Source organism: Homo sapiens, chromosome 13, assembly GCF_000001405.40.
Source record: "Homo sapiens chromosome 13, GRCh38.p14 Primary Assembly".
NCBI lineage: Eukaryota > Metazoa > Chordata > Mammalia > Primates > Hominidae > Homo > Homo sapiens.
The window spans coordinates 43,102,541-43,130,312 of NC_000013.11; the positions used below are offsets into that span (position 1 = coordinate 43,102,541).

At 40.5% G+C, this 27,772-nt stretch overlaps 1 protein-coding gene and 1 long non-coding RNA gene across 2 annotated transcripts in view, besides 2 other annotated features; both read left to right on the forward strand.

Moving 5' to 3' along the window:
* Nucleotides 1-11,673, forward strand: part of DNAJC15 (DnaJ heat shock protein family (Hsp40) member C15) — a 90,628-nt gene extending 78,955 nt beyond the window's left edge. The window contains exon 6 of the mRNA NM_013238.3: nucleotides 4,638-11,673. Within this exon, the coding sequence (NP_037370.2) occupies nucleotides 4,638-4,708 (71 nt within the window). The 3' untranslated portion in view covers nucleotides 4,709-11,673. The remainder of the gene's footprint in view (nucleotides 1-4,637) is intronic.
* LINC00400 (long intergenic non-protein coding RNA 400) overlaps nucleotides 10,625-27,772 on the forward strand; it is a 46,302-nt gene continuing 29,154 nt past the window's right edge. The window contains exon 1 of the long non-coding RNA NR_047013.1: nucleotides 10,625-10,743. This is a non-coding gene — a long non-coding RNA (long intergenic non-protein coding RNA 400). The remainder of the gene's footprint in view (nucleotides 10,744-27,772) is intronic.
* Nucleotides 16,377-16,878: an enhancer, noted in NCBI's record as "H3K4me1 hESC enhancer chr13:43693053-43693554 (GRCh37/hg19 assembly coordinates)". NCBI's record gives its function as "activates a minimal SCP1, AML or CMV promoter by ChIP-STARR-seq in naive H9 embryonic stem cells {active_cell/tissue: H9 hESC(naive)}" and the evidence as "EXISTENCE:reporter gene assay evidence [ECO:0000049][PMID:30033119]".
* Nucleotides 16,879-17,378: an enhancer, noted in NCBI's record as "H3K4me1 hESC enhancer chr13:43693555-43694054 (GRCh37/hg19 assembly coordinates)". NCBI's record gives its function as "activates a minimal SCP1, AML or CMV promoter by ChIP-STARR-seq in naive H9 embryonic stem cells {active_cell/tissue: H9 hESC(naive)}" and the evidence as "EXISTENCE:reporter gene assay evidence [ECO:0000049][PMID:30033119]".

Here is a 27,772-nt window from a genome sequence, read left to right on the forward strand (position 1 = left end):
GGAGGCTGCAGTGAGCCAAGATCTAGCCATTGCACTGCAGCCTGGGCAACAAGAGAGAAACTCCGTCTCAAAAAATAAATTAATAAATATATATTTATTTTTTATTAATGTGGTAAATTACATCGATTAATTTTTGAATGTGTAAGCCAGTCTTGCATTCCTGAGATAAACCTAACTTGGTCATCATATCTAGTCTGATTTGATAAGTGAGTATTTTGTTTGTTTTGCACCTGTGCTCATGAGAGATCTGGGTCTGTGGTTTCCTTGTGACATTTTCATTAGGGTTTGTTATCAAAGATATGCCAGCCTCATAAAAAGAGTTTAAAGTGTTTTCTTTCTCTTCTGTTTTTCGGAAAAATTCAACAAAATCATGGCCAGGATTTTTATTTATGGGAAGGTTTTTAATTACATATTTAGTTTCTTAAATATTCTTTTGATTTTCCATTTCTTCTTATATTAATTTTGAAATGTTTTCTTTTTCTTGGAATTTATCTTTTACATTTTTATGTGCTCTGACATGAAGTTGATTAGTTTTTTAGAGAACTAATCTTTCCCTGTGTTGATTCTCTCTCGAATGCTAATTTCTATTGTGATATCTTCCTTGACGCATGAGTTATTTAGGAGTATATTGATTAATATTCTAACATTGGGATCTTCTATATGTGTTTAATTCTACTATGGTCAGCTAACAGACTCCGTTTCAATGTTTCTGAAACTCTGTGTTGGAGGACTTTGTTTTTTTCTCTCAATCTCTGGTGAACTGACAGCTTTTGTAAAATACAATGAAAATGAAATTATGAGAAAATTGAAGAAAAAAGTATGTATATAAGATCCAGGTTTTACAGGGGTACACTGTTATTTCAAACAGGTATATTTTCTAAACACTTAATCTCAATTTCCAAACCTATCTATGGTCTAATAGCAGTTGTAAGTCAACATTCATCCATGGAACACACTTTAAATAGCACCGTTTATTGTTATTTTAATCTTTGAAGTTTGTCGAGACTTGCTTTTAGCCTAGCACATGATCAGTTACAGTAAATGTTCCATGTGCAGTTTAAAAGAAGATATGTTCTGCACTTGCAGGGTGGAATCTTGTATGTGTGTCAGTTAAATCAAGTTTGTTGATGTTATTTAACTTCAGTGTTCTTACTCTTTCATTTTGTCTACTTGTTTTATGCATTATTGAGAAGAGGCATCACTCACTAAAATTGTAGATTTGTGGGTTTTTCCTTTTGGTTCTCTCCTTTTTTCCTTTGTATATTTTGAGGCTATCTTATTAGGTATATTCAGATTTACAATTGCTTTCTCTTACCAGTAGACTGACCCTTGTAACACTGTGAAATTGGCTGTTTTATTTTTGCATTTTACCTTAAAATGTACTTTATCTAATAATTAGTATAACAATGTCAGCGTTATTTTTGATAGTGTATATTTTTTTCTATTTCTTAAAAGTATAGTCTCTTATAACAATATATAACCTGCTGGATTTTTATTAATCAACTTTATTGAGATATAATTTATATAGAATAAAATGCACCCATTTAAACGCACAATTTGACAAGTTCTGGCAAATATATATGTGCATGTAATCACTAACAGTCAAGACATACACCATTTCCATAAGCTCCAAAGGTTCCTTTTTGCCCCTTCCCATTGCCAATCCCTCCCCACAGCCTGGGCAATCACCATTCTTCTTTCTGCCACAGACTATAGATTAAACATGTCTTTTCTAGAGTTTCATATATATCTGGAATAGTATTATATACTCTTCTGTGTCTGGCTTCTTTGAAGGAAAAAAGCAGTGCAGAATGTTGGGCTCATCATAGTGCATTTCCGTTATCTCCAGGATCTTGGCCCTCAAGACCTGACTGACTTGGTAGCCCTCCAGTGCTTTTATACTGATGTGTTTATATTTTATTTAGCTCTTCTAGTTGGGTGTCAGTGGGAGAGTTGGCCTTAAACATGATGGTTCACAATAGCCAGAAGCAGAAGACTTCTGGCCATATTTAGTGGTAGAAGTACAAAGATACAGAAATACTAAGGGTGAAGGTGAGTGTTCTAATTAAATGGAACCCACTGAATTCCCCTAGAAAACTGAGAGGGGTTGAAGAGTGTTATTTTTTTTGTTCTTTTTCTTTTCTTTTCTTTTCTTTTTTTTTTTTTGGAGATAGGGCCCCACCCTGTCGTCCAGGCTGGAGTGCAGTGGTGCGATCAAGACTCACTGCAGCCTCAACCTCCTGGGCTCAAGTGATCCTCCACCTCAGCCTCTCCAGTAGTTCAGACTACAGGTGTGCACCACCACACCCAACTAATTTTTTAATTTTTTGTAGAGACAGAGTCTTATTATGTTGCCCAGGCTGGTCTCAGACTCCTGGGCTCAAGTGATCCTCTCACCTCACCCTCCCAAAGTGCTGGGATTACAGGCGTGAGCCACTGTGTCCAGCCAAGAGTATTTTGTTTTCATTAAATTTAGGGTATGCATCCTATCCTATGTTATCAGTCAGGATTCACTGCCAGCAACTAGATATTATAACCAGGAGAGCATTTAGTACAGGTTACATATTGTTGGAAGATCTGAAGGAGCAAGTTCTACACTTGGCCTACAAGAATCATTCCTAAACAATTACAGAGCTACTCTGTCAGGGAAGCTGCTGCCTCACAGGCTGCCACTAGAACTGTGGGAGAAGCACAGTTGCTGCCACCACTATACCACACTCTTGCTTACTAGTAGTAATAATGATAAAGAGGTGCAGCAAGAAAGCCTTTCTCTCATTTCAGCCTTCCAAGTCCCACAAGAATGGCTCTAATTAATGGAACCTAATGTGAATCAAACACTACTTGAAGAGACTATAAGAATTGTAGTTTTGGACTGAGGAACTTTTCCAACTATTTAGAGGTAGAATGAGGGTCAAAAGAACCAGTCCAAAATGTCTACCATGTACATAAATTAAAAGCCCTCTAACTTAGAGTGAGTGGTAGAGAATTCAACGTTATTCTGAATAAATTGTCATGTCATTTTTTTCCTCTAACATTGCTATCAATAAGTATAATATTTAATAAGACTCTCTATCATCTGTGCCTTTGATTTTTTCCAACTGCTGAGTGAGCATAGTATGGCCTATGATTTAAATATCCATAATGCATATCAATTAAAGGTTATGTTTAAGTTCAGTTAATATTTTAATATTTGCTGAGGATATCCAAGACATCGAGGACATCACCCTGATAACTCTAAGAATTTAAACAGCTTACCACATTGACATTACCTAATTCCTGATTGCTAGATTGTCTTCAAAGATAATCATGAAATCAACATATTTCATAACCAAGTGCTTTAAACTTTTATCAGCTTTCTTTGTAACTCTTATAGCATATTCAGGGACATACTATGATATATTCCATAAGTGTTTATAGCAATTCAGATCTTGATATGAAAATGTCAGTTGTATCCTCAAGGGCAAAGAGGTAAATATAGCTTTCTCCAGCATTACCCCTTCTACCACAACACCATGTTTGTTGATCTATTTTCTTTGCTTTCTTTTCCCTTCATAAGCTGGGTGGTATGGTATCAATAAAAGGCCAGAAAAAAGTCAGAACAATTTACACCAATACTAGCTAGATGCTTTTTGGTTTGTTGTAAGCTACTGAGACCTTATGATATTTTCAGCAGCTATAGATGGTTTGCACTTAAGGGGAGAATACAAAATAAAAAACACAAAGAGACTGGTGAGCTGTAATATGATTGTTAGTCTAAGCATTAAACAATGACAGTATTGAGGACTAGAAGTTAGAAGGTATATGATGTTTAGCTTTCATGTGACAGTTTGGTGCTAGTATTTTTGTATGTAGGTTCTGTTTGTGATTTACAATGATTCTGCATTTGAAATTCACCTCAATTTTCCTCTTGCTGTTTGCATTAGAAAGAATTCATTGCAAAGAACTCTAAAAAAGAACTGACTTAATTTTATTTTTTGCACTGTAAATCCAAAACTACACTCTGTAAATATTCGAATAGAATCATTTCAGAGAACAAAAAAAATTTTTTGACATTATTTTTATCTCTCATTTATTAAGATTAGATCATTTATCTCTATTAAGTAAATAGGTTTTTGGCACTGGGTAGTATATAGTTGCCTTTTTAAACATACATTTTATTTTTGTGACATTATAAGACTTGATTAATACTTTAAAAGACCCCTTGGATTGATTTACCTTCTTCAAAAAGATACCCGTTTTCACAGATGAATGTGTCTTTAAAAAAAAAAAAACAGTCATGGAAAAGACTGTTATTTTACTTGCCTAACCATCCACTTAATTTTAGAAAATTCTCTGGTCAAATACTTGAAAGGTGAATGTCTGACCAGTGCAGTAGTTGAATGTTGTTCAAGTTATTCCTGATTATAACTTTCTTTCATCATTTTTCTCAGAGGTTTTTTTTTATTGTTGGGTAGTTGTAGGACTTCACTAATCAAGTTTAATTTATACTGTTTTGATTTCTAGTTAGCTTATAAAATAATTTGTCAGAGGATTAATGTGTGAGACAATATTCAAAAAAGAGTATTTTTATATTTTGGGGACTTTAAAGTATGTCAATGATGAAATGTATTTTAATTCATTTTTCTTTGTTCTCTCAGGTGGATCTCCTTACGTAGCAGCCAAAATAAATGAAGCAAAAGACTTGCTAGAAACAACCACCAAACATTGATGCTTAAGGACCACACTGAAGGAAAAAAAAAGAGGGGACTTCGAAAAAAAAAAAAGCCCTGCAAAATATTCTAAAACATGGTCTTCTTAATTTTCTATATGGATTGACCACAGTCTTATCTTCCACCATTAAGCTGTATAACAATAAAATGTTAATAGTCTTGCTTTTTATTATCTTTTAAAGATCTCCTTAAATTCTATAACTGATCTTTTTTCTTATTTTGTTTGTGACATTCATACATTTTTAAGATTTTTGTTATGTTCTGAATTCCCCCCTACACACACACACACACACACACACACACACACGTGCAAAAAATATGATCAAGAATGCAATTGGGATTTGTGAGCAATGAGTAGACCTCTTATTGTTTATATTTGTACCCTCATTGTCAATTTTTTTTTAGGGAATTTGGGACTCTGCCTATATAAGGTGTTTTAAATGTCTTGAGAACAAGCACTGGCTGATACCTCTTGGAGATATGATCTGAAATGTAATGGAATTTATTAAATGGTGTTTAGTAAAGTAGGGGTTAAGGACTTGTTAAAGAACCCCACTATCTCTGAGACCCTATAGCCAAAGCATGAGGACTTGGAGAGCTACTAAAATGATTCAGGTTTACAAAATGAGCCCTGTGAGGAAAGGTTGAGAGAAGTCTGAGGAGTTTGTATTTAATTATAGTCTTCCAGTACTGTATATTCATTCATTACTCATTCTACAAATATTTATTGACCCCTTTTGATGTGCAAGGCACTATCGTGCGTCCCCTGAGAGTTGCAAGTATGAAGCAGTCATGGATCATGAACCAAAGGAACTTATATGTAGAGGAAGGATAAATCACAAATAGTGAATACTGTTAGATACAGATGATATATTTTAAAAGTTCAAAGGAAGAAAAGAATGTGTTAAACACTGCATGAGAGGAGGAATAAGTGGCATAGAGCTAGGCTTTAGAAAAGAAAAATATTCCGATACCATATGATTGGTGAGGTAAGTGTTATTCTGAGATGAGAATTAGCAGAAATAGATATATCAATCGGAGTGATTAGAGTGCAGGGTTTCTGGAAAGCAAGGTTTGGACAGAGTGGTCATCAAAGGCCAGCCCTGTGACTTACACTGCATTAAATTAATTTCTTAGAACATAGTCCCTGATCATTATCACTTTACTATTCCAAAGGTGAGAGAACAGATTCAGATAGAGTGCCAGCATTGTTTCCCAGTATTCCTTTACAAATCTTGGGTTCATTCCAGGTAAACTGAACTACTGCATTGTTTCTATCTTAAAATACTTTTTAGATATCCTAGATGCATCTTTCAACTTCTAACATTCTGTAGTTTAGGAGTTCTCAACCTTGGCATTATTGACATGTTAGGCCAAATAATTTTTTTTGTGGGAGGTCTCTTGTGCGTTTTAGATGATTAGCAATAATCCCTGACCTGTTATCTACTAAAGACTAGTCGTTTCTCATCAGTTGTGACAACAAAAATGGTTCCAGATATTGCCAAATGCCCTTTAGAGGACAGTAATCGCCCCCAGTTGAGAACCATTTCAGTAAAACTTTAATTACTATTTTTTCTTTTGGTTTATAAAATAATGATCCTGAATTAAATTGATGGAACCTTGAAGTCGATAAAATATATTTCTTGCTTTAAAGTCCCCATACGTGTCCTACTAATTTTCTCATGCTTTAGTGTTTTCACTTTTCTCCTGTTATCCTTGTACCTAAGAATGCCATCCCAATCCCCAGATGTCCACCTGCCCAAAGTCTAGGCATAGCTGAAGGCCAAGCTAAAATGTATCCCTCTTTTTCTGGTACATGCAGCAAAAGTAATATGAATTATCAGCTTTCTGAGAGCAGGCATTGTATCTGTCTTGTTTGGTGTTACATTGGCACCCAATAAATATTTGTTGAGTGAATGAATAAATTCCCATAGCACTTTATTCTTCACATGGTACATAACTATAGGGGCTATAGCTTGGTACCTTGTGAAGCAACTCTTGGTGTAACATACCTTATTTCTCATACTAAAATGCAAGAACCTTTAGAGCAAGGATCTTGCCATTCATCTTTGTAACCTCTTTACTCTGGAGCACTTGCATTTAGCAGGCATCATAAAGTTTTACGTACCAAGAAAATGTTGCTGTTTTCTGAATACTATGCATCAAAAAATGTTACCACTAATTTTTAAAGCTCTGCTAAGGAATATTGGGGCACCCTCAGATGCACCTTTTAATTGATGTCATATTTTCCTAATCCATACTTTATTCATGAGAATTTGAGTCACCCCAGCATTAGCTTGGAATTTCCTTATTTCCCATTTGCTTTGCAGGTGCCTTGGAGTCAGATCTGGTTTTGAATACTATCTTCCTGTTATGTGATCTTGGGCAGTTACTTAATTTTCTAGTCAATAACCCGTATCTATAAAATAGAGAAAATAATCCTACACACCGGGGCCTGTTGTGGGGCGGGGAGAGGGGGGAGGGATCGCATTTGGAGATATACTAATGTAAATGACAAGTTAATTGGTGCAGCACACCAACATGGCTCATGTCTACATATGTAACAAACCTGCACGTTGTGCACATGTGCCCTAGAACTTAAAGTATAATAAAAAGAAATTTTAAAAAATCCTGTCAAATAAGGTTATAGTAGAGAATAAGGATGTGTAAAGCATTTAGTCACGTAAATGCTTAAAAAAATGTAATTTTTACTTCTTTCACTGCCTCATTTAATTAGTTTTATCTTTAATAATACCTTGGATTCAGGGTAAAGTTTCAGTTATGTCCCAGTAATCATTTATTTTACCCTCGAATCTGCAATTTGGATAGAACATGGTGGGGACAGCTCGTCTCTATTCCTTGCAGCATTAACAGGCTGGAGGCACCACTTCTCTGGCCAGCAAGTTGGGCCTGGTTGTTGGCTGAGAGCCTCAGTTCCTTTCTGCACAGGTTCCTCTTTACATAGGCTTCTCAACAGGGCTACTAGAGCATCGTCACCATAGCAGCTGTCTTATAACAGAGAGTGGTCGGTCTGAGAGACAAAAAATGGAAGCTGCCAAATTGTTCTGGGTCTGGAAACTGTCAGGGCATCACTTGTGCCATATTCAGTTGGCCTAAGAATTACAGAGCCTGCCTCGATTCAAAGGGAGAGGATAGAGAGGACTGAAGGAATCAGTGCTCATCTTTAATATGCAGCAGGACAGGTTTGGGATTTTTTTTCCCCCTTGAGTCTGTGAAGGCATTACTTAAGAACAAAGTCAGGCATGTATAATTGAACTACAGTTACTTGAAATATAAGCCCAGAAAGTTTCAGATAATAAATACAACTATTTTTCTGCTGTTACCCTTGTACCTAAAGATGCCATCCTAATCCCCAGATCTCCACAACTATACCTACATAGTAGAAGGTTAAAATGTATCCCTCTTTTTCTGGTGCATCCAGCAAAAGTAATATCATGAATTATGAGCTCTCTGAGAGCAAGGATCATATCAGTCTTGTTTATTGTTGCAGTGAACAAGTACAGTTGCAGATATTCAGGAGTAATTATCTAAATGGCAGTAGGCTTATAAAACTGAATTTTCACCAGCCACACCCTCCCCCCAACTCCTTATCTGTAAAAAGCTTATTTGAGTGGTTACCTGTCTTCAGTAAAGATTGCGCTTGCATATTTGCTGTCATTGCATATTCTGCTTAATTAAGCTCTGTTGATATTGCAGTTTCTGTGCATACTTACATCTTAGATGCAATCTGAGGGCCTAGGAAGGCCTTTTAAAAATAAAACAATTCCGATTGCAGAGAAAGTGTAAGTCAAGGACAGTTAATTCAAGGGGAACATAGAAAGCTATTTAGATTTTAGTTGATGGTGCCAGTCTTCAGCGTAAAGTCAAAAGTGGAGGGAAGTTTAGTAAGGAAAAAATGTTGGGCTTGGAATACATTGTTTAGTCTTCAAAGCACTTTACTTTTTATGAAATATATTTTAGACATTCAGCAAATATTGAATACTTACTATATCAGGCAGTAAAGATATAAATTCATTCTTAAAATGTGCAACATGTTCAAACTGAAAAAAATACATTCTTAAACAGGAAACTTTTTCCTTCATACTTTTTAATTAACAAGACATATAAGAGTTGCATTAATGGGCGTGCTTATGATTGATCACCCAGCAGCATCATTAGAAATAATATATTTTATTCATGTGCAGAAATCTTTTGGTTGTCCTGGGGAACCTTGAACACAGAAAAGAGCTTTTATTGATAAGGTAATTGAACACACTTGACAATTAGCTTAATATGGTTTAATACCATTTGTGGGAGAAGATGAATCAGCCAGGCTCTTTACGTCAAGAATATGAAGTTTCTCTTGAGTCAACCAACTTAAGATGAGCTACGGAGACTGCAGTGAAAAGTTAAATATCCAAGTACACCAGCCAATTTCACACAGTGGAACCATGCTGTCCTCGGGCACCCTGCACCTCGCCCAACAGTCATCAACTAGATGGAGGCTCCTGGCTGCAAGGAGGATTTGATGGGAATGAGTAAATGTGTCAGCATAGTCCGTCCCTTCTAATGGAAAAGCAACCCAAAGAGCAAATCCTATTAATGGCTGGATCAGTATCATCTACTTGTCAAAAACATTCCATGAATTATGAGTCAAAATTTTATTTATGGTGGCATTACACACATTAAGAGATGAGGACTTCTGTTAGCATAATTTATTAGCTGGAAAAGTTGAGAAGGTTCTCTGGACTCATTTTTATAGGTGGAACCTAAGTGATCTGGATAATTGCCCACCAGCAAAATTGCTGGGCATGGTGGACAAAGAAAATGTTCCTTCTAATGATTTTTTATGAGCTGAGTAGCTATTGTTCCCAGCTGAGTGCTCTTTTCCTCTTTTTATTGTTGCTGAGCAAAAGAATTTATAAAAAGCTCTTTCTTTTGTATTAAAAACCCTGCTCAATTGAAATGCAAGTTCATTAAGTAATCTTCATTTCTCTTCCTGCCATAATAACCCTTTCCCTCTCTGTTCGATTCAACAGTATCTAGCAGCACTGCTCCAAATTTTAAGTCTGAACAGACTATATTACATAGATGTAGAGAAATACTCAATCTTCAGCATTAAGAGGGAGCTTAATTTCACACGGGTGGAATATGATCACTCAGGCTAGATGTTGGCCATAAATTTCAAATTAGTATCTCAACTTAGCAGGGGGGATCAACAGTGGCAAACTTCAATTATGACAGGATAAAAATCACATAGAGATATTGGTTCAATATGGACATCTAAACTATAATGCTAAAAGCCAATAATTAGAATAAGTTCATTTTAAGAAAAGCATTAATAATATTAGCTAACGTTTAGTACCTGTGCCAAACATTCTACCTATGTTACCTTGATTTTCATAGCCAGCCTAAGAGGTACTATTATGTATCCCCATTTTACAGGTTAAGAAACAGGCTCAGAGGAGTTTAGGATCTTTTCCAAGATTACATAGCCAGTAAGTGGTGGCACTAGGAACCAAATTCAGACTCTGAATCGCATGCTGTTTATATTATATTGCACTCATTCTAAATATGTGGGAATCAGAATGAAGGGGCTTGTATGACTTTTGGCTCATTTTTTGATGCATGTGACCTGGGATTATAAATGTGAAATTAGGTTTACGAAAGGATCCAGTGTCATTGTGCATCATGGGCAAGGAGTACCTAATCTCTTTAATTCTTCCCTGGAAGCTTACGATGTCCATCCAAGTGCACATAGCAAAAGTTCTGTTGTAAAGTTTAGCAGAGTGACTTTCTTTGACTCAGAGTGATGACGGAGGAAGCTTTGATAAGATTTTATCTGAAATGTTCATGGACAAGAGCTTTCAAGGAGAACATCCAGAGCAAGGTTCTGAAGACAGCTCATGAAGGTGAAGCAGCAGACCTGGCACAAGAAATGAAGAGAGAGCTCAGTGTATTAAAGATGAAAACAAGAAAACCGAATATATTGAAAGGAGCAGAGAGGCAATGAAAACAAGACAACTGAAATGAGGTAACTTGCAGCAATTGAAAGGGAATTTCAGTACTTTTATAGAATTCTTAAAAATTGTTTCCTGCTGTTTATTTTCAATTTTGAACAGGGTTATTTGTCCATGCCATACTTTTTTTGCCAAATTCCAAAATTGTGTATAGTTCTATAGTTGTCTGGTGGAGTCAATGGAACTTTAGTTACCAGTCTAAGAATGTGTCTTTGAGATTGTCCAGTTAATTCTCTATTTCCAGTAGCTGTAATAAATGGTGAAAAGGTTTCTGACTCCTGGAGAAAGTTTCTAACTCCTTATGACTAATATTCATAACAGACTTGTGAGTTCCTTGAACATGGATACACCTATATGCAAGAGTGTATTCCAAAGCTAACTCAGTGATCTTTCCATTTATCTATTCTTGGATTAGTGGTGCCTTTGCTCTTTCCTTCTGTAAATGTGAATAGTTAAGAGTTGACTGCAGAAGTGTTTACACTTTGGCTTCCATGCCTCTGGAATGTTTGTGCTTTGGTGGTGAGATGTGAGACTATATTTGTATAGTCTGCATCTCTCAGGCTGCCCCAGAATGTTGTACAGTGCAGTGCTGAAGAAAGCAGCAGGTACACACAGAAATGCAGCCTTTCCTGGTTAACCCTGCTTGGATCTGAGTTACACTTTGTTTCCTGACTTCTTGGGACTTAGGTAATCAGTTTGCCTTCTACTCTATCTCATTTTGTACTCGCTTACATACTACATTCTTGTTTGGGCTTTCGTTTCTTCTTGTAAGCAGAGATTTTTTAAAATCCAATATGTGAAAATACGGATGCACTACAATTAAATAAATAAAATGCTGTTGTGTTTGTTTTGCTTTAAAATTGTAAAGGATAAACAATAAGATAGTTTTATCTATGTGGTTTTCCCGATGCAGTTAAAATAAAACCTAATCTGCTAAAATTGAATTTACACTCAATTTTTCTGTTGTATAATTCTTGAAGAACACCTCATGTGTTGTACAACTTCATCTACATTGTGAACTCTTTTATTTATTGAAAGTCTATCTTAGTCTTTCACTTTTTCTACACTTCCCTTTACTTCCTCATGAGATGCTCAGCCCAGTTGTCCCTCAGGACACAGTATCGATTGGTTCACTTTTAAAAGCAACTGTTAGAAACCCAAATCATAGACATGTGAATTTTCTCAGAAGCCATTATTGAAACTTGGATTTTTACCTCTCATACCAAAATAAAGAAGGGAAAAAATAGAAATCAGCCCAACAATACTTTTAAATTGATTTTTATATTTATGTTGTAATGCAAATACCAAAGAAAAGTGCCTAGTTCCTTGGTTTATTTACTTATATCTTGCCTCTGTTATCTTCATATCAATTTTTGGCCTTAGCACTTTTGACTGCATAAAGAACTCTAAACATAGGCAATGGTAATAGAAATGCTGACACATCTGAACTGTCAGGCCCAGAATATATTATTGAATATGACTGCACAAATGCCTGGAACCTATACTTAGCGTAAAGAATAAGGCTGCTGTTTTCAACTTCCAACAGGAGGAGAGTACAGACATATGTGCCCTCTGTTTCCCCTCTCTGGCTCTTTCATTGTCTTTCCCCTATGTGTGCATGCAGGCAGGCACACATACAAACACATCCTGCCCCATGAAGTGGTCACATCTTAATATCTACTAAGGCCAGTTAGACATTCTGTGGGCCGAGTGTATGTTGCAGTTGCTTAACTGGCCTAAAGGTCTCATGATATCATGGGCACTATCGAGTGATGTTTCCAAATCTGTAGAAGGAGGAGGACTGGTAGTGTTGGGCTTGCATAACATAAAGGGCCTGTCTACCATAAAACAGGAGCTTGGATTTGTTTTTTTCAGGAGATGAATATGTTTTTCACAGCAGTCTAGTGAATTAAGAACAATACACAGAATCCCACAGCGAGCGTGTTCTATTTGAATCTGTTGATGGGATTTATGTATGGAACAACAATTTTCTGTATAGACATAATTGAATACATATTACCATGATCTGAAACCATGCAAGAATATGTATGGTGTGTGGGAAACCTGAAGACAGATACAACTGATGAAATTATTAGTTTACATTTTTTATTCAAAATATTTGTGAAGCAGCTATTCCCTACATATGCTCTATGTAGAAATGCAGAGACAAGTAGATGATTATAATGTGTCACCATCTCTTTTTTGGACTGATTTTTTTTTTTTAAAGACGGAGTTTTGCTCTTGTTGACCAGGCTGGAGGGCAATGGCACAGTCTTGGCTCACCGCAACCACCGCCTCCTGGGTTCAAGCGATTCTCCTGCCTCAGCCTCTCGAGTAGCTGGGATTACATGGACTGAATTTTTAATAGAGCAGGAATGCCAAAAGGGAAGTCCCTCAGATCTGGTGTGTGGCTCAATAATGCGCTCAGTTCCATGCAGCTTCTTCCCTTAGGGCTCTGAGTAAAGTCTCTGGTGCCAGAAGGTATGAGGGTCTCTTGTATTTAATAATATCAAGGGAGTACAGTGTTTTCCCTCAAAGCCTGGCCAGCAGTTACTCCTGGAGAAAGAAGAACAATCTGGTTGACAAATGTGTCACCCATGTAAACTCACCAGAAATATCTAGAGCCATGAACACCTAGTGGGGTCAGCAATAGGTCAGGCAGTAATTGCTCAGTGCCTCGTTCGCTAGCAGCAGTGGGAACTGCTGTAGTGTAAATTGGTTTTAGGGGCCAAATTGATCAACCAAAAGAGGCTTAGAGATTTTTGGTGTTTGAGTTACTGACGAGGGTTCCAACTTTCTGGATCACGTGATGAAATGCATGGCAGTTGACTCTGCTATCCTCTAGGTTTTGTGTCTCCCTTCCAACCCCCATCAGCAACCGTTTCTTGTTCTTGAGGCTGCTTAGCCTAAGAACTTTTGGTCTTTGCTGTCTGGGAGTTACAAATCCACAATGGCAGTGAAAGCTTTTCTTTCTCCCTCATCCTTTGTCCTTTCCTACTTTTGGCCTTTTTTTGCTTTTGCACCAGTTACACTTGTGTCCATCTGCTAGACACCCACAGCATCAGGGTGCTTGGGCGTGGTTCCTGCTGGGCAGTTGAGGAGCTCTGGGTCCACGACCCAGCTCTCCAAGCCGCCTCACCTTGCTTTCCCCTTCTGAAATACCACTCACCTACCTGCCCACAGAGGGAGACAGTGAGACTAACGAGAAGGGCATAGGGAGTAATGAGAAGAAATGCACAGCGTGTTCTGGACTCCTCGAAGAGAAGTGTTTGTTCAAGGCATTATTAATATTTTTGCAAGGCACAGTAACATTGATTTTTTCATCCAAGAACCATTTCGCATTTGCACAGAGTAGTCACTAGAGTGTTGAACCATTTTCTTTTATACATGGAGGAAGTGGCTCATCCTCGGCCTAAGAGCACCAAATTTGAGTTGGCATTTTTTATTTCCAGTTCCAGGCATGAATCTTTGCTCCATTTTGCAGGTAGCTGGAAAATCTTCTGTTTGTTTAAATCCACGTTGGGTAATACTGCATCATTTTAAGTTTTCTATCTGGAGCCCGGTACAGGAATTCACCAATGCCAAGCACGGACTCTGTGCATAGATGCCTTGTATAGGCTCCAAGCTGCAAGCCTCCCACACTGATGGATTTAAATTTTTATTTTACATCCCAGCCAATCAGGTGTCTGACTATAACTTGAAGCCAATTAGTATTTTTCACAGAGCCAGGTGCAAAGCTGCCAGGTAACATCTGCAAGTGACTTGCATTGCTCTAATGGGATCTGCATATGTTCAGCTCTGTATGAAGATGTTTTTCACTTGACATGAAGTCATCTTTGGTCTTGTTCTCCCTCGACTCCATTAAGCAGACACACCTACGTGTGTGGCCAATTTGATCCACTTTCAAAGGAGGATGGTGCCTAGTGTTTCTTTTCATGATCTATTATTTATGCTGATGCCTCTTGGAAAACTGTATCTACCCATCCAAAGTGCTTTGAGAGGGGAGGGGAAGGGGTGTGGCAACACATCTCTCAGTTACTATCAAGGCATTTTCTGATAATACGTGGCCCAACCTAAATTATCCAATAAAGATTTACTTGAGGACTTTGTAAATTTCTTTTAAAAAATATATCTGATGGAGGCAATTTTTTTCTCAAAGAACATACCTGAGTTCCTTTAACTTTGAGGAACAAAGACGTGGGTTCTAGTCTCCTAGTTTGCAGCTGATGAGCTATGTGGCTCTAGGCAGGACAGCCTTTGCTGAGCCACTTGCATAGGTGCTCACTGATGGCCATAGGACCTGTAGAAGGAGCACACCTTTCCGAGTCACACTGACCTCAGTTTGAATCCCTGACCCTCTCTGTTGGCACAGTCATCTTGTGGAAGTTTTGTGACCTCTCTTTTGGTTTCCTGACCCATGAAATGGGTATAATAATACATACCTCAGAGGGTTATTTGGAGAGTTTAATGCTTTCATATAGACATGCCTGCTTAGTGCCTGTACATGATAGCTTTTCAAAAACTGCTCATCTTCACAGCCTGTCTTTTTTACTCCACTGCTTTTATTTTATTTCAAGTACTATACAAATATTCCAAGTGGATTTTTAAAAGAATGGATAACTACCAGTATTTCCAACATCCTAACCTCAACTATATTCTTTTTTTCTGGGGTCTCTTCTAGTACATATTCACATAAAGCCTTAGGAATTGATCTTATAGGAAATGCCTGTAGGCAAATATGCTCATCTCTAGACTGGAAATTGAACCAAAGTATTTTACAACGACACTGTGGCTAAATAAGAAAACGTGTTTAACAGCTGAAAACGTCATCCAAGAGCATTTAGAGGAAAAAAGAAACAGTCCTTTGGCCAGGATTATGGCAAAGCAAGGTATGATAATATTAACGGCTGTTAATTACTAAGTGCCTGATATTTGTGCCAAACATTCTTTATATTATTTCTTTCATCCTTATAGCACCCACTTAGCTATGCATCTCTTTTCAAATAATGTTTTCAAATGCATAACAAAAAAAAATTTCACAGGAAACCAATTAGTTTAAAACAACATTTTTTATAAAATTGAAAAACATTTGTGATATAGTAACGTATGTGCCTCATTATTAATGCATTAAATTTCAAGATTTATTTCACAAAGAAGGGGTTCAAGAGCATAAGTACTTTTCATAGAACCACATGGTCAGGAAGGCTTCTGCTCCCAGGTCTTCTACCTGCATAGTCTGTCCTCTTACCCCCTTATCCTGCTGCCTGAAGACACTTAGGGAGCTTAAGACTCTTAGCCTAAGTTCCTGAAAACTTCTCTCCTGGCTTAAAGTGAATGCTGGGTAATTTATTTAGTCTGCTCGGGGTAGTCATTCATTCCAACATGATTGTAGTCCAAGGACCTCCCTTCCTTTCAGAACATTTGTCACTTGTCATGTTGCATTTAGGACGCCAGAGGAGGCATCCAGTGAAATGAACAGGAGGCACTTTTGTGACAAATAGACTTCGGAAGCCAAAGCTGGAACTGGAAAAGACCTTGCAGATCTTCAATCCTCCTTAAGGTGCAGCCTGATGGATTTCCAGATCCGTGACATTTTTTAAACACTTGATCACAGCAAAAAGAATAAACACTGATTTAAAAGGAAGACGCCGGGCCTAGGTGTAAGAGAGAATGTTGCCATTTTTATGTCATCTTCACAGGGAAATAGCAGATTTCATGAACTCAGACTTTGGAGAAAGGCTAATGTGGATTTAAATTCCAGGTCATATACTTACTTGTGTGGCTTTGGACAATTTACTGTAAAATGGAGGTATATCACCTACTTCACAGGATTACTGTGAGAATGAAATAAAAGTGATGCGTGTAACACATTGACACTTGGCTGGCGCTCCGTAAATGTGTGCACAATACAATTCCTTTCACTAAACCAGTGATCCTCTGCTTTGCCTGTTTCTTAGAATCCCCTGTGTACCTTTTACAAGTTCTAATGCCCAGACAGCACCCCGGACCATCAGACTTTTTGGGGTGGGAGCCACGCAACAGTATTTCTCCATATCCAGCCAACGTTGAGCATCCCTGGACTAGATGCAGGCTGAGTGAGGCCCAGGCACAGAGGGCAGCCTGTCTGCAAGGGCTCTGCAGGAACACAGCTCAGGACGGCAGCAGGGGTCAGGGCCTGGGGCAGTGTGGACCTCTCAGCTCACTCCAAGAGCTGCAGGCAGGACCATCCCCAGGGCGTAACTGAGGGCAAATCACTCTGAGGGCTTTTCTTCTGCCACAGCACTTTTATACAAGCGAAACAGAAAAAAAGGGCAGCCTGGAGAAAGATTATGATCAAAGCAGGCAGCTTAAAGAGTGATGGTAAGGAAAGGGGAAAGGAGACAGCCAAACGGGGTGGTGAGAACCAGCCTGCACCCGCACATCTGACTGTGAAGGCTCTCTGACTTTCAGTGCAACTGTCCAAAGTGATCGTCTCTTTCACCCGCTCAGAAGTCAAGGACTGGGAGACTCATTATTTTGAATAGAGTTTCCCCGAATCATTATTGGGAAGTTCAAGTGTGGTCCCAGGATCAGCAGTGCAGCATCATCGGAGAGCTGGTCAGAAATGCAGAATCTCAGACCCTGCCACAGACCTGCTGAGTCAGAATCTCGAGTGGTGGAGCCTAGGAATACGCATTTTAACAAATTCACAAGTGAGCATGATTGAGAAGCACTGCTGTGTATAGTGAAAATAGAGCAAACTTTAGGGGCAAACAGCACTTTTGAGTTTGAGCCCTGGCTCTTTCACTTACTGTGTGATCTTTGAAAGGTTGCTTAACTCCTCTGAACTCGTGTTTCCTCATTTGTAAATTGGGGATACAAAGATTTACCTTAATAATGGAGTCCAAGGAAATTGTGAATGAAATAGAGGGGGGTCTTTGGACTTGGATTGGAAAAAAAATCATTTTTGTTTTTCACAAATTTCTAACTAAAATTTAGCATTTTCTTTTATTATGAATGTCAGCAACATTTGTTAGCAGCCTGTGACTTTGTCACCAGAACAAGCCACACATATTTCTTTTTCTATTTCTTTCTTTTTTTTTTTTGAGACAGAGTCTCGCTCTGTCGCCCAGGCTGGAGTGCAGCGGCACAATTTCGGCTCACTGCAAGCTCTGCCTCCCGGGTTCACGCCATTCTCCTGCCTCAGCCTCCCGAGTAGCTGGGACTACAGGTGCCCGCCACCACGCCTGGCTAATTTTTTGTATTTTTAGTAGAGACGGGGTTTCACTGTGTTAGCCAGGATGGTCTCGATCTCCTGACCTTGTGATTCGCCCACCTCAGCCTCCCAAAGTGCTGGGATTACAGGCGTGAGCCACTGCGCCCCTATATTACATTACAGTTGTTACAGATAACTCCAAATATCATTTGTATTCATCCAGTTCAAAATTACAGTTGCTTTTAAACTTGCCGCTAGATATTTAATGCATTAGTAATGAGGCACATACACCATGATATCACAAATGTTTTTTAATTTTATAAAAACTGCATTTTGAATTAATTGGTTTCCTTTATAATTTTTTTTATACGCAGTTGAAAACATTATTTGACGAGAGGTCCATAGACTCATGGCACAAAACACTTTCAAAAGCCCTCCCTGCCTGGAAAGTTGTTGTGATGATTTAGTGATGGAATCAAATGTGTCCAGCACTTTTTAGTGATTCAAATAACAGTGCCCTGATTGTCCTCCCCAACATTGTCACGTCTTGCTTTGTGCTAAGCCTGGGCCAAAGATTCTCTAGACTTTCCTGGGGGTGTGTGAGAATACACACTGTCTGGTCAACTTTCCCTGCAGGCATTTCTCTGGCTAATCCTGGTTTTATGGAATGAGAGCTGTTGTGTGTTGAGTGCCTGCTCTTTGCCAGATTGGTGAAGTATGCTGCCTTGAATCACATGGCCAGTTAAGTGGGAAAGCAGGTGGGTGGTCTCCATGCTGCCATGTATATTCCTGGGTGGAGCTAAGTCCAGATGTTGGCGGACAGACTAAGGACTCCTGCATCCTCCTAGTTCAAGAAGATGACAGAAGGGCTATCAGTGAAATCACTAAGCACCTACAATCTCTTAGTTCTTGTACATTCAATAAGCATTAATTAAGCACTTACTATGTGCCTGGCCCTATGCTAGTCACTGGGATACGCAGCTGGATAGGCCGTGAGCCTTGGCTCTAAGAAGACTCTATGGGCCCTGGGAGCAGAGAAGGGTATCCCCTAAACCAGTGGGGCAGAGGTGGGGACTGAAACAAGGTTCCCCTGAGCAGGTGGTTAATTTGTCAAATTGGCTGGGCACTGTAATGCCCCGGTGTTTGGTCAAACATTATTCTGGATGTTTCTGTGGGGTGTTTTTGGATGAGATTAACATTCTAATGGGAGGACTTTAAGTAAAGCAGATTGCCCGCCATAATGTGGGTGGGCCTTATCCAGTCAGTCAAAGACTTTCATAGGACAAATACTGACCTCCTCCAAGCAAGAAGGAATTCTGCCAGCAGACAGCCTTCCGACTTCAGCTGCAGCGTGACTTCTTCCCTGGGTCTCCAGCCTGGTGACCCACCTGGCAGATTTTCAACTTTCCAGCCTCTATAACCTCCTGAGCAAATCTCTTAAAATGGATCTCCCCTTCTATCTGCACCTCCCATTGATTCTGTTTCTCTGGAGTGCCCTAATACAAAGTCCAACTGGCTATATTCATTTGTGATTATGCTCCTATGTGCTTTACTTTTTATTTGATTATGTCTCATTACACAGTTCCTGTCCTGGGGTTCTGGGCCCCTGAGGGATTTTCATTTTATTACATAGACCCCTTGTGACAATGGTGTATCTGGGCTAATGTAACCAGTGCTGTTTCACTGGGCACAAACTATTTGGGGTGCACTGGGAAGCATACATGTAGGAGGGAAAAGGAAAGACATTTATTAGTGCCCACTGAGTGCCAGGCCCTGTGCATTTTACACTAATTTCAACCTCTAATACTCGGTATACAACAAGGTACACAGAATTATTCCCATTGCACAGACAAAGAAACTGAGGTCTGGAAAGGGTAAGTGACTTGTCTGAGCACACCCTGCTAATAAGAAGAATCAAAGATGGCACCCAAATCTCAGGATCTGCCTGACACCCAAGACACCCGAGGCCAGGCTCTTTAAAACATAAAATGCTGTTTCACACAAAAGGTGCCAGGCCAAGGGAAGAGGAGCCCCTTCTCAGGACAGTTGTGGTTCCATAGTCCATTAAACCTTCCCACCACCAAGGGGCCCTGCAGCCACCCCACCCCCTCCCATGAGAGATCCTCTGCACCTTGCTTGAAGCTCATCAGGAAGGTCACCAAATTGTAAAACAAAGGAATCCTTCAGTCTCAGGAGGATCTTTGAAACACCGCACCTCAATCCTTGGCCCCAGAGCCTAGGATCCACCCAGGGCTCCAGGGCCTCAGGCATTTGGCCCATCAAGTGCTGCTTGACTCCTCTGTATCTCACCCCATTGTGACCCTGGCATTTTGCTCAGCTGATGAGGATATCATGTCGGGCAGCATTGCAGCTCTTGTGCAGCCCGGGAGATTGCATCTATTGTTGTTTCCTTATCTGTGTGCTCTTTCATTCTATCAGACAAGGAAATTAAATTGGTCTGGCACCATTTGCTCTCTAGAAAGCTACTTTGGCTGCTAAATCCACCAAAGGGGGTGGATTTATTTGGGTGTTTCTTTCCTAAGTGAGTGAACAGGCCTTTTCAGAGCCGCCCACAATTAACTGAAAGGCCCGAGCTGCTGTGCCAGGCCCACCTGTTGTGGGGATGGAAGCCAAATGGGGCAGATGGGATCGAAGCGGGGCCAGAAAAATAGCCTCTTAATTTAGCACCAGAGTCCTCTCCCACTCTGCTCCAGCCCCCCTACAACTGGAAAAATGTGGAAGGCACAAATATGAGTCAGAGAAAACCATCCAGGAACCTGGGTGTTAAAACCCCACCTCCAGACTGCAGCAGGGAACGTTAGGAAAAAAGGGCTGAAAACCGAACATCAATATTGGTTTTGCTCCTGATGCCTGGAAGGGTCTCCCTTGCCTTGTCCTCTTCATGAATGAGCATTCACCTCTTCATCCTCCAAAGGGGGCCCTCGCAGTTTTCCGCAGCCTCCGCGTCCCCATGTCCCCAGGCAGAGAGCCCACTGGCCCTTTTGCATCTCCGGCATGTTGAAATGACCTGTTGGCATACTTACGGGCTGATATTATTATGGTTTTTTTTTTTTTTTTTTGATTTGCCCCAAAAAGGAGTTGAGGTGGATTACAAACTTATAACTGAACTTTAAAATAAATCACTCACTTGAAAGTTGGTGGCAACTTTCAAGATCAGGGCAAAAGGAAATAAGAAAAATTTATGTAAAATATTTACTCTGGGGTCTTCTTGGTGGGCCATGGCTTTGGCCCTCAGCTTTCCAGCAGCCAACCCGAAGCTGGTGCGTATCAGTTCCTTGATTCACGCTGTTCACAGCTGGTCAGGTAAGGCACGGCTTTTCCAGTTCTGAGGCCTAAGAGGAACTTTGCTCATAGTTTCTCATAAAAAGGACCCTGTGAGGGGTCATGAACAGTGTCCTTAACATGTCATGGACATTGTCCTTAGGTAGACATATGTTTCATGGGACTGTGTATCATATAACATCCTTTCTGTCCGCCTATGGCACCACATCACCATGCCCTTCGGGGAAGGCAGTTCTACAGGGTGGCCAATACAATGGGACTTGGCTGTAGTTTCCTGTTAGCCTGCCTAGATTCACAATAGGCTTTCCGGAATCTAGAGGATTCAGGATGTAGTTCTCGCTTGCCTCAGTGGAGACTTGAATGAGTTTATGCAGTAGTCATGAATGAATATTCATTCTTACCATCGCTGCTGAGCATCTGAGCCCGCTCCTTGGCTTTGTGGAATTCCCTGAGCTAAGGCAGATCTTGCCTCCCATTTTAGAGACTGAAAGTGGCAGCTACTTGCTTTTCTAGCCTCCTTTGCAGCTAACAGGTGGCCAGATGGCCCAGTCACCACCAAACAGACACATCGCCCCAAGTTATAACCATGACAAGGGTGCTGGTAGTGGCTGCAGAAGGATAATCTTTTTAGGGCAGCACGTGCAGCACACTGAGTGGGGGCATCCAGTGACTGGAGCTAGCAGTATCAGCAATGGAGACTGTGACCTCCTCACTTGACCCAAGCTACTGTCCAGGCCGTAGGAGCCTGAACTTATTCCTTCTGCCCTCCTGCTGAATGTGTGATCTTCTCGATGTCCTTGTAATGAGTGTATATTCTGCTTAAATCAGCCTGAGTTGGCTTGGTTGCAAGAAAAAACCTGCTTGATGCAAGCAGCTGTTCTTCTCCGCTCCCCGCCCACCCACATGCAAGGCATAGGAAAGTCAAACTGCTGTGAAAGCCAAGGATGCGTACACGCATAAGGACACAAGCCAGGTCTGCTCGCAGAGTTCCTGTGATAGATAGACGGACAGAAAACTTGAGGGCCCTGCCTGCAGCACAGGCCTGGGGGCAGAAAGACTGTCCCAGAGCTTGCTAGCCTGGAATCCACAGTCTAGATTTATACTGTCCAATATGGTAGTCAGTAGTCACATGTTACTGTTTACATATGAATTTAAATTAGTTAAAATTTAGTACGACCACTATGGAGAATGCTTTGGAGGTTCCTCAAAAAAATAAAAATTAGGCTACCATAGGATCCAGCAATCCCACTGCTGGGTATATACCCACAAGAAAGGAGATCAGTATATAGAAGAGATATCTGCACTCCTATGTTTGTTGCAGCAGTGTTTACAATGGCTAAGATTTGGGAGCAACTTAAGCATCCATCAACAGATGAATGGAAAAAGAAAATATGGTACATAGGCCAGGCATGGTGGCTCACGCCTGTAATCCCAGCACTTTGGGAGGCCAAGGCAGGTGGATCACCTGAGGTAAGGAGTTCAAGACCAGCCTGGACAACATGGTGAAACTCCATCTCTACTAAAAATACAAAAATTAGCTGGGCATGGTGGTGGTTGCCTGTAATCCCAGCTACTCGGGAGGCTGAGGCATGAGAATCGCTTGAGCCCAGGAAGCGGAGTTTGCAGTGAGCTGAGATCACGCCACTGCACTCCAGCCTGGGGAATAGAGCAAGATTTTGTCTCCAGAAAAAAAGAAAGAAAGAAAGAAAATATGGTACTTATATTAATACATAATGGAGTACTAATCAGCCATAAAAAAGAATGAGATCCTGTCATTTGCAACAACACAGATGGAACTGGAGAACATTACGTTAAGTGAAATAAGATAGGCACAGAAAGACAAACATCTCATGTTCTCACTTATTTGTAGGATTTAAAAATCGAAACAATTGAACTCATGGACATAGACATAGAGACTAGAAGGACAGTTACCAGAGGCTGGGAAGGGAAGTCGGGGGCTGGATAGGGGGAGGTGGGTATTAAAAAATAGAAAGAATGAATAATAACTATTATTTTATAGCACAACAGGGTGACTATAGTCAATAATAACTTAATTGTACATTTTAAGATAACTCCAGGAGCGTAATTGGATTGTTTGTAACTCAAAGGATAAATGCTTGAGGGGATGGATACCCCATTCTCCATGATGTGCTTATTTCACATTGCATGCCTGTATCCAAACATCTCATGTACCCCATAAATATGTACACCTACTATGTACCCACAAAAATTAAAATATAATGAAACAATAAAAACATTAAATTAAATTAGTTAAAATTAAATAGAATTAAAGATCTGTTTCCACAGGCACATCAACCACTTACGGAGTGCTCAGCAGCCACATGCACCTACAGACTACCATTATGTACAAGACACATAGAGAACATGTCCAGCATCGCACAAGGTTCCATTGCACGGTGATGGCCTAGAACCTTGACATTCCAGGCTGAGTGGCAGGATTTCTGCCTTTTTGAGTCACACCTATTGCTTCTGGTGGCTGACGAGGCTGGGAGTTCCCAAGCAATGAGGCAGCAGTTCCGCCCTCCTCCATCCTGGTGGTCTGAAATCCACACCAGCTACCAGGACCACAGAGCACTGGGCCAAGGCTCTGGGAACCCTCTTTTCCCTGCTGCATCTTCGTCTATGTCCCTTTTGCTACTTCTTGTTGGCTGCTTCAGGGGGAGACAAAAGTAAAGACAACCTTGGGTCAAGTTCTCACCATCATTCTCATTATCCTGGAACCTGGACCAGGCTCTGCAGCCTGGGCTGGTGCAGAGGCCATCTCAGGTATGCAAATGAGTGTGTTATGCAAATGAGTGCTTCCTACAAATAAATGCTTTATGCAAATGAGTTTTTGCATTCTCTATCTCTCACACTGGGCTGAGCAGGGACTTTGTACTTACCCCAGGACCTGGCACAGGGCTTGACACATCAAAGTACTCAGGAAACATTCACTGGGTACACGTGGATGTAACACAGATCCCGAGGGACCTGACGCACGACAATAATTTCCATGCAGAGTGTCTTCCTTTCAGTCCAAGGCAAGGGGGGTGACACAGTAATAATGATGATAATGAGAGTGATGATATGTATATGAAAAAATGAAAGTATAGAGTATGAGTTTATTATAAAAGTGTAAAGAAATTGGTTACATGTGTAAGGAAATGTGGAGTTATGGGCATATTTTTCTTTTCAAATTCCTTCAACATTGTTATTACCCATATCAGAGTAGTTAAGAATATGCTCAGACAGACATGGTCCCCCTTTGTGAAATGGGAGCTGTTACCTCATTTGGCTATGTAAGGACTAAATGAGATAATGCATGAAAAAATTCAGCACTGCCTTTGGCATATAATAAGTGCTAAGTACAAGGGAGCAATTATTGTTATTTTTGCCTAGAAATTCGTGTGATAACAATAGAGCGGAGCGGGACTCTTGGCGTCCCTGTCATTTTGTGGCTGTTGCTTCCCTCCCCACTGGAGTGGATGGAAAGCTCTGGGCCTGGGTGTGATTTCTGTCCTGACAGCCCAGCCCTCTGCCCACAGGGCAACTGGGCCAAGTCCCCACTGCGTGCTCCCAGCAAGAGGGCACTGCCAAACTTCTCATACCTTTTTATGCTTCTCGGTCTAAGCCATGGGGGTTTGGAGGGATTTTTTTTTTTTTTTAATTTGAGATCTGTCATCCTTGCAAATGAGTTTGCCCTTTGCAGCAAATCCACACAAAACAGGGACAATCTCCAGTTTTCTTTCTGTTGCCTTTTCTCCTCCCTTCTGTTCGAGTCCTGCAGCTACTAATGAGGGCCTCTGTCAGCTCCCTGGGAGGGCAGGAAGAGCTGCCTTCGCCCTCCTCCCTCTCCCTCTGTCTCTCTCTCTCGCAAACACACACACACAGACTCAGGAGAGCTGCCCTTCTCATCTGGTCCTCCTTTTCCTCCTTTCCCCCAGCTTCTGCCCTTTATCTTGCTGTTTTCACACTTCCTTCCTCCATCTCTCCTGTGACTCTTTTTCTCTGAATCTCATCTTCTCTTCTATTTCCTCTCGCATAATAAGTGTGATATAAGTATTTGCTATGATTATGATGTCTCCCCCATCTCTTTCTCTCTTTCCCTCTCTCTCTTCCTGTGTCTATCTTTGTAATCTTTCTGTCTCTCTTGGTAACTGGCTATTTCTGTCTCTCACTGGCTCTGTCTATCTCCCTCTCTGTATGTATTTCTCTGTCGTCATCTTTCTGTGTGCATCTATTTCTGTCCCTCTCCTCTGCCTCGTCTGTGGCTCTCTGGCTGGCTCTTCATGTCCCTTAAATCTTCTAAGCCCCTCTGAGGGCTGTGGTCTGAGCACAGGAAGTAATAAGGAGGAGTATGCCCCACCCTGACCCCAGCCACCCCAAATCCTCACCACAGTGCCTGAGAAGTGGATCCGCTCCCTCTTGGCCCAAGATAAAAATGCATCTCTCTTCTTACAGCCTCTTCCTACAGAGAAAATACTGTTCATGGGGTCCTGCCTGGAAAAACTTCTGGTTGAGGAAGTCATTTTGCGATGCTTGCAAAACAAACTTTCAGAAACCAAATTTCTTGAAACAAAATCTTTGTGGCTGTTTAACTGATTTAGTCTACTGGTAGGCACACAGAATAACTAAGACTAACACGTTTATAGTTAAAGCATTGCACTTTATCTTCACCCTTTCATAATCTACTTTTTGCTACTTCAGCCCACTCTTCTTGTTTCTCAGCATAACCTTTTTGTAGTAGGAGAGGTGCCATTATTATTATCTCCATTTTTAAAAGTGGGAACCGATACTCATAAAGATGCGATGATTTGCTCCCTGTCACGGAGTTATTTTCAGTGCCGCAGGGCGCAGAACGCTTATTCCCTAGGGACCATGAGCCCCTCTCGCGCCCCTCCATGCCCCTGTCAGCTCTAGGGCTCTGTGATTTCCACCAGAAATCCCAAACATCTCCCACCAAACCTGCCCAAGGGAGACTCTTTGTGGCTTTTTCGCACATCGTGTCCTTTGTAAGTCATCGTTCCCGCTGCACACGCGCCCACCATCTCCAGGCTGAACGGCTCAGAGATTTAATCACGTTCTCGGACTCAGGCCATGGCAGTGAATCTTGGAGCCACGCGGCCGGAGCTGCAGCAGAAACCCTGGCAACGGAAGGAGCTCTCTGAGGGTTTGGTGGAATAAATTACTCAAACACTTGCATTTCTACAAAAGTAGTGACACTTAATTCCTGCTATGATATTAGGATAAACAAAATGTCATCTGCCGCATTGTCCTTGCCCATCCAAATCTTATCTTCTTTTTCCGTGTAAGTAATTGGGGGAAAAAAATTACAGAAACCTTCTGGAGTATTATCGTATTAGGATCCGATTTTAACCAGAATGCTGAAAATTTCATACTGAAGGCAAGTGCATAGTTGCCGTAAATGCAGGCGAACTTCAAGGTGAAGGAACTCCCCTGTACAATCGCGAATGCAAATGTTTAAAGCCACTCAACAATTTTCCCCTTGCAGCTGCCCGTTTTATCTCTTGCAAAACTAGTAATGATACAAGCAGTTGATTATGGTTTACAATAGCAATAAACCTCTCAGAATTGGTTGTTTCCAAAATAAATAGCCATTCTGTTAAATGTTAAATAACAAGTCATAAACTGCTGAAAACAACCAATTTCTTGTGGATTATTGCCTGAATAAATTTCAGCAGGAACGGCAGATCATTAAGCTGTGAGCGTCACAGATCAAAACCGTTGGATTAAAAAAAAATCAATCAATTAACTTAAATCCATCCAAAGGAATTCCCATTTTACAAACCAAGTCACACCACACATTTTTACATCTTCTTTTGAGCTTTTCCTTTGCTGGTCATGGTTAGCTTGATTCTGGCCAAAATCTTTTCATTCTTTTTCAGAGATTAAAGCATACCTAACCTGGGTGGTTAAATTGGCTCATTCTGAGAGCATGCAGCTTTCCTCAGCTGCATTTTCTACAAGTCTCCATCTACAGTGTTCCAATTGATAAAACACAGACCTGTCCACTAAGTTAAACATTTGAGTCAAGGCTCAGTGGCAAATATATATTCAAACTGCAGCTCTAATAGAGGCTGTTCTGGTAAGAGAAGCCAACTTCATCGGGATGATTGACAGAAGATTCCTCGCCATAGCAACCAGGGTTATCTCTCTGGAATAACAACATTAACCTCCTTCATAACCAGTTTTTCATCCCTGAATATAAAAGGCAGCTGCATGCATCTTGTATGATCCTTTTTTTTTATTTTTGAATGAACAGTTAGCACTTCTATATAAATGGGACAAGATGCAGCAAAATCAAATTAATTTTGAATTCCTCTTGAAAAAAAGCATGGCAATGGATCTTGTAGGCAGAACAGTTAGAGCAGGAAGGGTTCCTGTCTCTTCTGAGCATAGGGCAGTAGCAGTGAGATTTCTAGTCATCTACTGCCTCTGAAATAGCCTCCTGCATTGATTTGCTTTCTGCTGCTGTGGAGGGTGGGAAGGGGCAAATAATTTGTTTCTTGTTTTGTTCCTGTCTT